We start from the raw sequence: 11884 nt of genomic DNA on the forward strand, positions 1-11884 counted from the left end.
TTGTATTAAATGTTATATGCTCTGTGCTCAGTGGGATAACATATTGCCACATATCTCATCTCAGAATGATCCCATAAATGTCAGTAAAAGTTAACCCAACCAAGATCCTTTTCTGGCACAGAATAGAAAAAATTTTAAAAGGATGCTCAGTCATGTATTTAATATGAAAGGCTTTCACAGATAAGGAGAGATAAGTGAGAGAGATAAAGTCAGAACTCATAATCAGATATTTGACATCAAATCATAAGTTGGCCATTCTGAAAATACTATGGAATGTGAATTGTAATACTCTTTCCAGAACCATTTGCAGCATATGCCTCCACTGGCAGGATTGGCTGGCAGCACAAGCGTTAGTCTTAACAGTGCCTGAAATTAACAAAGGGCATCTCTGGGTGCTTGTTTGACCTCTTTCCACTGGTTATTGTCCATACAAGTCAATTTGCCTTAAGCATAGTCACTATAAAGAATTCAGAGGTTACTCTCCTAGTAGCTCTGCTTTTAAAAATACATGCCAAAGCGCTTTGGGAGGCCAAGGCAGGCAGATCACTTGAGCTCACAAGTTCAAGACCAGCCTGGGCAACATGGCGAAGCCCTGTCTCTTCAAAACATTCAAAAATTAGCCATGTGTGGTGGTACCAGCCTGTAGTTCTAGCTACTTGGGGGCCTGAGGTGGGAGGATCACTTGCGCCAGGGATGTTGAGGCTGCAGTGAGCCATGTTTGCACCATTGCACTCCAGCCTGGGTGACAAACCAAGACTCTGTCTCAAAAAAGAAAATTATAAATAATTTAGGCATTTAACAAATATCTACCACTTGACCTAATAGAAAAAAATAGTTCAATACAGTTAAGTGCCCACGTGTCACTCCTTAATCCCGTGACTCCCATCGTTTTCCAGAGATCATCATCCTGAATTTGCGTAGTTCATTATGTAATACATGTTTTTATGCTTTTGCTATATATTTATGTGTCCATAAGCAGCATCTAGCATTGGACTACATGTTTTAAACTTGTATATGAGGTATCATATTGTGCACATTCTTCCTTCTTCACTCAGTATTTTCAGACTTTAGCCACTGTTGAAGTGGCTTGTAGTCCTGGCTCATTAATTTTCCTTGCTGTTTAGCATTTCATTGTATGAATAGACCATGGTTTCGAAAAACTAATATACTGTTAATGGACACAGTTGATTACAGATTTTCACCATTAAAAGCAATTCTACAATGTACACGTTCCTTTCACACATGTTCTCTATCATATGGAAAATTATGTCCAGACAGCACACCAGAAAAAGGAGGAGGCTTCTCATAGCTAAGAGGGACTGGTCCAGGGACTCTGGCTGTCTACAGACTGGTAGTTCATGGGGCCTTACTGCTTGAGAAGCTGTGCTGCCAGAACAGTGGTTCTCAAACTCTAACCTGTATTAGCCTCACCTGGAAGGCTCCTTGAAACACAGATTGCTCTGTAGGCCTGACTTGAGGCTGAGACTTTGCATTTCTAACAAGTTCCCAGGTGATGCTGAGGCTGCTGGTTTGGAGACTACACTGGGAATTGCTGCTGTAGTACATAATACAATTGGAATGGCTGAACCACATGACTAGATATTGCCAAATTGCTCTCCAAAGTCTATAATTACCAGCAGAGTAGTGAGAGTTCCCAATACTCCACATTCTTTTTAGCACTTGTCATTGTCAGCCTTTTAAATTTGTGCCTGATGGCTGTAAAATGATAGAATATTGCCAAAGTTTTTGTTCTTAGATTACAAGTAAGGTTGAGTAGCTTTTCCTGTCTTCACTGGCAGTTTGATATCCTTCTCTGTGAGTTGCCTGTTCATGTATTTGACCACCTTTCTCTTAGGTTTTCTTTATCAACTCCTGGGAGTTCTTTATATTTCCTGGATATTAATCTTTTTCAGTGATGGGTTAAAATGTCTAATCTTTTTCAGTTATGGGTTAAAATGTCTTCTGTCAGTCTGTGGCTTGCGTTTGCTCTTTATCTATGGTGTCTTTTGGTATACAGAAGTTTCAGTTTTTATGTAATCAGACATGTCATTCTTTCTTTATGGATTGTACTTCTTAAAGAAATCCCTCTCTCCCTTGAGGTCACAGAGATGTTCTCTGACATTTTCTTCTCGAAGTTTTGTAGGTTTGCTTTCATATTTATGTCTTTAATCTTCCTGGAATTTATTTTTGTGAATGGTGTAAGGTGGGGATATAATTTTATTATTTCCAATCAGAAAGCCAGTTGTCTTAGCAGCATTTATTGGATCACCCATTCTTTTCCCCACTTGTATGTAATACCAACTTTGAGAGAGAGAGAGAGATCTGTTCTAGACTCCATATTCTGGTCCATTGTTCTTTTGCCCACCTATGCTTTAAAAAGACATGAGTTATAGGATGAAGGTTCTTACTATTCTAAGTGAGTTACTGGACCGTTCTCTCTAGAACTCGTAGGATCTTAGGGCAAGCACACTTCCCCGGTGCCTATCTGTTTCCCACCAGCCTCCTGCCAGACTTGACTACCTGCTTTCAAATCTCCTGGTTCCTAATTCTTGCCTCAGAACTGTCTAGTTGAGCACATTTGCAGAACTATGATTGTCATTTCCTCAGCCCAGTGAGTAATTCCGCCCTTTCTGGCTTTGGTTCTCTACTTCCCAGGCTTTCTCTTAAGACTTAGATTGACATTTCTCTCGTCTTCTCTATAAGCCAAAATAACTTTACCAATTATAGGTTTACAGTAGAAAAACACTTTCCTGTATACAAAGTTCCTGGACAGAATGGTTGTTCACCAACAGTAATGGAAGGGTTGTTCTCTCAGTTACTATAAAAGCTTTAGGCATAATCTCTAAATACCTGATAGCAAGTTTCTGAGTTACTAATAGTAAATGAATGAGAGCTGTGCTGTTTCCATAACCAGGTGCCAATTCTTTCAGAAAAGGATTGGAAAAGGCATATTTTTCATTTTTATTACATTGTTTACAGAGTAAACACCAGTTTTTTTGACAGAATGGTGTGATGCAACAAGAGTGTCCCCAGGTCTCATTGCTTTTAACTTTGTGACCTTGGGAAAGTCACTACCTTTCTGGGTCTTCCATGTCTTCATTTCTAAAAGGAAAAGAATTAGGCAAGGTGATTGTCAAGGCTTCCTACTTAGAAATTTTGACTCAGTTTCTGGGGAACTGACACATCTCAAAGAACTGGGAGAAGGGTATCATTTATGTCTTTCAGAGGCCAAAAATACTCCCAGATTATAGAACATGCATGATGATAATGAATGGGTATTACAGTGAAGATTAATGTATTTCATTATCTAATCTTCTCTAGGTAACCAAAATAGGTCAGGCTTAGACTTCATCTTATTTTAATGCCATCAGTCTCACATGGCAGGGATATTTGCAGCGTAGAAGTCAGCTAAGGACTTTGGGAAGTGTTTTTTTTTTTTTATGACTTTTATTTCATTTGTTGGTTTTAAATTGCAGCAATGATCTCAGTCAAGACCCAGCCCAAATTCTTTTGACACACCTTCTCCCATTAGGTCATCTGGCCCACATTTTGCCAGGTGGAACTCTCCTTTGGCAAGGTATAAGCATAACAAGGAACAGCTTCTTTGTCTACTAGGGCCAAGTGGGAAGACAGATGTGCTGCTGTACAAACACTCTCCCATCCTTAAGCCAGACTCCCCATGCTGTTTGGACTCACAGCACCTTTGTCTTCCTTGTCTTTTTGCTGTCTTTTAGAAGAGGGCATGGAAAAGAGTTTCTAGGCTTTTTTGAACGGTTAACTTGAATGGCAATGTATAGGAAAGGTATAAGGTCTCTGAGGTTGGCATAGCAGCGAATCCAGAGCTTTTTTTTTTTTTTTTGAGACAGAGTTTCTATGTCGCCCTGGCTGCTGGACTGCAGTGGCGTGATCTCGGCTCACTGCAACCTCTGCCTCCCAGGTTCAAGCAATTCTCTGCCTCAGTCTCCCGAGTAGCTGGGATTACGGGCACCCACCACCACACCTGGCTAATTTTTATATTTTTAGTAGAGACAGGGTTTCACCGTCTTGTCCAGGCTGGTCTTGAGCTCCCAACCTTGTGATCCACCCGCCTCGGCCTCCCAAAGTGCTGGGATTATAGGCGTGAGCCACCACCGTGCCTGGCCCAGAGCTCTTTTAAACAAGCATTCTGTCTAGCCAGGTGGGCCTTGGAGCTGGAGGCTCAGGCACCAGGATAGCTGTTACTTGCTACAGACTGTAAAGAAGTGTGAATTTCAACTTGTTATTTCCCTACCACAATTCTGAATCAGAATGATCATGACTTTGCTGACAGAAGAAGGTAATGTTCTCTGTACAGGGGGAAAAAACTAGCAGAATATTTTTCCTGAATACCCACTGTGGTTATCTCTGGGAGAAAGGATTATAGGTTTCTTTAGTTCTCTCCTTTTAAAATATTTTCCTTATTTTCAACAACGGACATCAATCATGAAACCCAAAAAAAGCGATAAATGTTATATTTTTCAAAACTTCCACTGTGCCTTAGGTGGAAGATCAGAATCTTTGACATGATGGATAAAGGTCCTCACAATTTGGCCCAACCCAGTTTGCAAGCTCTGGTGTTCTTCAGATCCAATGAATTTTGCTCACCATCGCCCAGCATGCCATGAGCTCTCACAACGCTGTGATGCTCGCTCTGTCTGCCGCACCATCTACCACTCTGCTCTCTACCCTACCCAGCCTTCGGGATTCCTTCTGAGAATTCTTTGTGTCCACACGCCTCACCCCCAACCCAGACTGGATTAGTTTCTCCCTTCTTACTGTTCCTGTAGCACTGCATACAGATAGCTACTCTAGCAGTTATTGACTTATACAATAATGATTGTTAAATGACTGGCTCTTCTATAAACCATCAACTTCTTGAGGACAGGGAATTGACTGAATTTAAATCACCTAAAGATACTACTGTGTGGTAGACTTGCCCTGAATTCTTGTTGAATAGAGCAGGTGTTCATGGTAGATATCCACCAGCAGATTTTAATGGTATTTCTTTATTTATAATGGCATTTAATGCCCTGCATGGAATACTGACACAAGAAAGAAAGGATTCACAGTATCTTACCTTGGTAACTTACCTCAGGATGTTTTCCATGGACCTGTACACCCTCTTGCCAGCCCAGATGGCTGCTCAAATGGTTGAAAATTTGGTTGTCTTGCTGGTTTTTATCAGAGGCTGTACCTAGTATTCTCTGCCCATCTGTACTGTACGCTTTGTGAATCAGCAACCCCTTTCTTCACATTTCTCAGGATATCCTCACTAAGGTCTTGTATGCCATCTGAAATTTCCCTGATGCCATGTCTTCTTACAGGGAATCACCTACGTTTTGTTTGGTTTACATTGAAGACATGTATCTTTGATCATGCCCTAGTTTACTCAGACTGTTCTCCTAAGAAAAAAGTTTAATTTTGGGTTCTCCTTTAGGCTCTAAGAGTCTTCTTCATACTTGAATGTATTAATTATCACTTATTGCTTCTGCTTTAGCTTTAACACACTGGATACTGGCATTCCAGCATATTCCTAAGCTTTAGAGAGCCAAAGGAATCTGTTGTTCTATTTCACATGTACAGTCTTTTATATAAAATATATTGCAATATGTATTGAGTATGTATTTTATATAACATATAATTGCATTTTGTGAAAATTTGAATATGTAAAATTGAAATAGGATATTCTAAAAGTATTAATAAAGCCTCACTCCAATTTTAAAATAAAGTTGACTAGAATGACATAATTTCAAAGCTGGAAGGCTTGAGTTGATTGTAAACTGGGTTGAAGCTGTAGCCACATGGCAGTGCCATTTTGGCCAGTAAAATGCAAATAAATACCTGACTTCCCTTGGCAATGTCCTGTGAACCACGTTGCTTTTCACTGCATAGGAACTTGTACTTGTGGTTTTAGTGTCTGTTTATCTGTTATTTTAACATCTTCTCTTGTTAGAATTGAAAATATTTTTGTAGGCTTAGAATGTCACACTAAGCATTCATGAAATGGTGGTAGTACTTGTGCTGGTGCTAAAACTAGCACATGAAAATAAATATGCTTGGAATAGAATTTAGATATGGAGAAACATGAAGAAGGTCAAATAGCCCCCATGGTACACTGTGCTGTTAATTTAGAAATGAGTGCTCTGTTGCTACTGGAGATGATGCTTAGGAAATAAAGTGGAACATTGAAATAAAAATGCACCATGGTGATGTAGATCTGTGCCTCCTGAGAATGCATTTAATCCTGTGGAGAAATCAGTTTTGAATTTTGCATATATTGAATTATTCAAATTTCAGGAACGCATCCTTTGCATAAAATGCATCCATCTGGTTCTTGGGATTTTTTTCATAATTAAAATTATGATATGCCAGTTTCAAAATCTCCTTTTAAAATACATTGGGACAAAAATTATAGATTAAAGTATGAAACATGAATGGCTTTTATTAATATAGTTCTCACCAATTACTTTAGCTTAATAACTTCAAGCCATTCTTTCCATAAATATTTTTGAAGGTTTCTAGCTTAAATACTGTATATCCAGGGTCATAGGGTCATTTAGGACAAACATTTGGCATCCCAGAATAGAATGTTAAAATTGGAAAAAATCTTAGAGATTATTTTACAAAGGAGGAAACAGATGGTTAGAGAGGGCAGCTAAGGGACTGGCTCACGGTCACAGAACATTTCAAAGTATTTCTAATTGTATTGTCTCAATTTTTCAATATCCTTTCCTCCCTCTTTGTTTCTTTATATGTATTGACCTTTTCCCACCATGATAATAAGCTGAAGTTCAGATATATTGATTGACCCAGAGTAAGAGTGGAAGTATTTGTGTTTCTTAAAAAAAAAAAAAAAAAAAAAAAAAATTCCATGTGAGCTTTTTTACTGCTTTAGATTTTTTGGGTCCAAAATCTTGTAATTAGATTTTTTTCATAATTTCCAAATACCAATAGTATCGTGCTACTATGCATTATACAAATATGGCCAAGAATGGTGGTGCACACCTGTAGTCCCAATGCTTTAGGAGGGCAAGGTGGGAGGATCACCTGAGCCCAGGAGTTCCAGAACAGCCTGGGCAACATAGCGAGACCTCATCTCTACAAAAAATTAAAAATAATTAGCTAGGCATGGTCATCCACACCTGTAGTCCTAGCTACTCGTGGAGCTGAGGCAGGAGGATCACTTGAGCGCAGGAGTTCAAGGCTGCAACTATTATCACACCACTGTACTCTAGCCTAGGTGACAGAGCAAGACCCTGTCTCTTTAAAAAAAAAAAAAGTACATTATACAAATAGCACATCAAATTCTGATGAAAGTGTTCCTCATGGAGTTTTTCTTCTTTTCAAGATAATGCATATGGTAAAACATTGCGGCAACACCATGGCTGGGTAGTTCGAGGGGTTTTTGCGGTAAGTGATCCTTCTTGTCTCCTATTATTAACTGTATTGGGTATGCCAGTGGCTAGGGCTAGAAATCTCTTCTTACCCAGTTATTTATCTAGTCATGATTGTCAGAAACAAAGTTGTGTGTGTGTGTGTGTGTGTGTGTGTATGTGTGGTGTTTTTGTTTGCTTTGTTTTTGAGGATAAGAACAAAATGTTATTTATTTCATTTACGTTTATAGGCCTTTGGTGTGTGGAAATGTCAGCAGTAAAAAGTGTCTGGAATAGCAAAGACTGTTAAAGAAATATGAATAAAAGAGTTGATGCTTTACCCTAGCCAATTCTAATTACTCTAGCCAATTCCAATGACCTTGTGAAGATTTGCCTCATAAGTGGTTGCCTTTCTGATAAGGTAGTAAAAAGCTTAAGTATCCTAGCAGAAGTACGTAGGAAGCAGTGATCCTAAATACTTATCATTGAAGGGAAATGATGCATTCAGGTGATGAAGTCAACCTAATAGCTCCCTCTGCTGCCCATTGTATTCATTCCTTTTAATTCTTAGGTCTTAGTTGATTTTTTTTTCACTAATTGAATTTTGTCCTTGAATATTAACTGTATTGGGTGTGCCAGTGGCTAGGAGGGCTAGAAATCTCTTCTTAGCCAGTTATTTTCATTGTGAAGGTGTTTTGTATTCATGTGTTTTGGCTCTGATTACCCACCACCCTCTTCTTCCCAGCATGTTTAACTAGGAAGAACACAAACCTGAGACTCTTAGTCTCCTGGGGAAGTCACTTAGACTGCTTTATAAAATAGCAGGAGTAGATGGCTCCTTTATGTCAGCAATACACTCTGTGATTCTTCCCATCCAGGAAAAGGTCAGTCTTAGTCAAATCTAGTCATGAAAAGGCAGTCTCATGCAGTTGTATGTCAGGAAACCTCATAGAATGTACTCACATTCTTTGGAAGGTTGGGGAATAAAGTAGCCTTGCAGATGGTATCTTTTACTGATGTAAAGGATGCATCATTTGCCTAAAGAAAGAACTGTTTGGGTCGTGCTTTATTAGGGAGGGCGGTAAAGTGGGAAGAATGTACACTACAACAAATCAGATTCTAATGAAAATGAAATATTTTTTGAAAGCATGGAGATTAAAGCTCCATATCCCATTCACTGTTCACTGGGATAGGTGCTGGACCAAATGAAGCTACAGACTGCTCACCCTTACCTTCAATACACCTTGAATAATCATAATGGCTACCATGTAGCTATTGGACACTTGTTGTGTACCAGGCATTCTTAACAGGTACTTTCATATTCTTTATCTTAATTCTCAGGATTAACTCCCACTATTTTACAAATTCAGAACAATTAATTCCAGTCCCCAAGTACCAGAGTGAGGCTATGTCAGAGCCCAGGTCTAAACTCAGATCTGTTATCTCCAAGGTGCTAGTGCTTACCTCCATTAGAGCTCTCTGCAGTGAAGACACAATCACTGAGAGGCCTCTACTGAGTTCTTAGGCAATGGATGCTCACTGTGGTCATTGATCTCCCTGAATGAATATTGTGATTATTGTGATTGCTAGCTTGTGCCTGACACTTGAGTTGCCCCAAAACAAGTGTGGGGGGAAGGGTTCAGTATAGAATGCAAAATTTAATCCTGAAATATTGATGATCCCAGAGATATTGTCAATAAGAATGCAGCTATAGTAGAAAACTTATCAGCATAAATCTTTTTTTCCTTTACCCTGTACTTTAATGGATGCAAAGCATAAGTCTTTAGGAGGACTTTTTAACTTTATTATACTAATTTAGACTCATAAAAAATTTTAGAAATCATGGTAGAAAGAGAAGAAATTAAAACTGTCCATATTTTCCTTTTTTAACATTTTTGTATTTTACTGTCTTAGCTTTTTAATTTACATATTCTTTTAAATATTGATCTATTTTATATACTTAAATATAATATAGATGTTTATACATGCATATAGTATATGTGTATAATTGTCTTTATTTTGTATACTTACTCTGTATATGTATATACATTTTTTCTACCTTTAGCTTGTATAATTTTATATCCCCCCAACTGAATAGAATCTATCATTATCATTTTTAAATGCCATAAAATAGTCTTTGAAAAAAACACTATTTTTAGTGTCTGTATAATATTTTCCTAGTATGGAGATATCATAATTTATTTGCTCAGTCCTCTGTGTGAGAGACTTAAACTGCTTCTAAGTTTAGAATAAAACAGGTTAGAAATAAAACAGCATCTGTTTATATGCATTTTTGAATAAAATTCTTATTTCTTCAAAATAAATTCCTAGTAGAACTGCTATGTCGAATACTAAGAACTACAACCACAGTTTACAGTTTTGAGCACTTAACATGCACTAGATGTTGTTTTAAGTGCTTGACATACATAAATTTCTAAGTCTCATAATCCTGAGATAGATTCCATTATTTTCCCTGCTTATAGACAGAGAAACCTGAGACACAAAGTGATGAGGTAATATACCCAAGGTTGTAGAGTAAAAACATCTTGAAGGCTTTAAATATTATTGCCAATAAAGGTGCTGGTTTTTAAGAAAATAGATTATGTAATGCATTTGGCAACAGCCTTATCAATAGAGGAGTTAATTCTGTAGCTAGATTGGCCTTTTCACCCTATTACTCTCCAAGTCATGCCTACTTTGGAAGGTTTATAAGTTTTCTAACATGCTAACTTGCAGAGCCAAATTCATGTTAACTAATCTCGGTTGCTGAGGGAAACATTGTTTACATCCAAGGAATTTGACTTATTTATCAGCCAAATAGTGACCTTTTAATCTTTCAGCAGTTATACTCTACTGAGCTGATAGCCATTTCAGGCAAGGTGGCTGCCTCCATCTTGGTCACTAACTAGCCTTCATTTGACCTTTTTGGTTTCCTCTTCAATCAGACTAGACAGTTGAACTCTATTACTGGTTCTCCCCTTTTTTTTCTAGAGTGCTGATGGCTGAGTGTAGAATTCTAGGTTAATAAACATTTTCCCTCCAAATTTTGAAGGCATTCCTCTATTGTCCTCCAGCTTCTACTGTTACTATTGTGAAATCCTATTCTATTATATATAATCTGTTCCTTGTCCCTTTCGAAATGTTTTAGATTGTTTTTCCCCACATTCTGAAATTTCATGATGTGCCCTTTTGGTCTTTATCATTCATTATGCTGAGCACTTGATTAGGTCTTTAAATCTGGAGACTCCTATCCTCCAGTTCTGGGAGATTTTCTTTTGTTATGTTTTTGGATAACTGCCTTCTCTTAATTTTCAGTTTTCCCACTCGCTTGTACTTTGACCATTATCTTAAGTATTTATCATGTGCCAGGCAGTGGGCTAAACACTTCCTACAGATCCCATTAATGCTTAAAATAAGGAAAGTGGTATTAGTCTTCTTCTATAAATAAGGAAACTGAGATTCTAGGAAGTTAAGCACTTTGCATAAATTCCTCAAACTGGTATGTGAAAGATCTGAGATTCAAGTCCAGGTCTGCTTCATCTAAGTCTGTGCTTTAGCCACTGCATGATAATGCCAGTCACTCTCTTACTGCAAAAATGGGGAGGTCTGATTCTCAAAGACTTTCAAAGTATAAGGAAGATCAGGAAAGCAACTGTGGAATGATAATTCAAGATTCTTCAAAAAGCCTCTGCTGAGATCTAGTGACCGCCAGAAAACAGATTTTAGCAAGCTTAGGAAATATTGGCCCGCAAAGGAAGAGAAGGATAAGATGCCTAGGAAATCTGTTAGGCAAGTGGCATAATATGGTGGTGTGGTTGAAAAACACAGAGATGATCCAAGTTCAGATCCTAGCCCTGGCACTCATTAGCTGTATGACGTTTATATATAAAATAGAGATATAAACTGTACAGGGTTCTTATAAAGATCAGCTAGAATAAACTATGTTAAAGCATCAGCGCACAAGCAAACAATAAATGTTAGCTCCCTTCCTTTCTAGAAAGCATTCAAGAGTGCAAAGGAAAGATTATTCTTATGGGGGAAAAATAGAAGATACGCAAAGAAATATATAGAGATGAGATACAAATAAGAGAATGAGATGCCCCAGAAGACAGGCCATGTGGGAATAAAGACCATGATGGCAACATGCATATAGATTCTGAGGATTTGAGGGGAATAGTCTGGATCACACTGTGGATCAGAAGGGAGCTTTTCTCAGACTCTCTCTCTCAGCATTCCCTGATGTGATAGCATTATTTATCCTTAAGGTGGCCCAAGTACATGCTTGTTTCTTCTAGCCTTAAAGTTATTTGAATTGGCCCTTGAAACATAATTTTAGAGAAGCCACAAATTAGAAGGGTAGTCATATTTCTTTACTCTTGCTCTTCTCAGCTGTTTGTATGTGTGAAAGTATGTGTGTGTGCATGTGCACATGCATAAAAATAAGAGTGTGAGAGACAGACTTGATGCAGATTCTCATGGGTTATTCTTTTGCA

At 38.1% G+C, this 11884-nt stretch overlaps 1 protein-coding gene across 13 annotated transcripts in view; it reads left to right on the plus strand.

Annotated features, from left to right (window-relative positions):
• Positions 1-11884, plus strand: part of PLEKHA8 (pleckstrin homology domain containing A8) — a 102072-nt gene that overhangs the window by 38293 nt on the left and 51895 nt on the right. For 6 of the 13 annotated variants that reach the window (NM_001350973.2, NM_001197027.2, XM_011515592.4 and 3 more), the window contains one exon: positions 7367-7428. The exons of 5 other annotated variants lie outside the window; for them this stretch is intronic. In NM_001350973.2, the coding sequence (NP_001337902.1) occupies positions 7367-7428 (62 nt within the window). Of the gene's footprint in view, positions 1-4519; positions 6598-7366; positions 7429-8584; positions 11880-11884 lie in introns of those variants that run through there. 2 more of the 13 variants (XM_017012744.2, NM_001363473.1) reach the window with 2 other exon arrangements.

This window comes from Homo sapiens, chromosome 7 (assembly GCF_000001405.40).
Source record: "Homo sapiens chromosome 7, GRCh38.p14 Primary Assembly".
Taxonomy (NCBI): domain Eukaryota; kingdom Metazoa; phylum Chordata; class Mammalia; order Primates; family Hominidae; genus Homo; species Homo sapiens.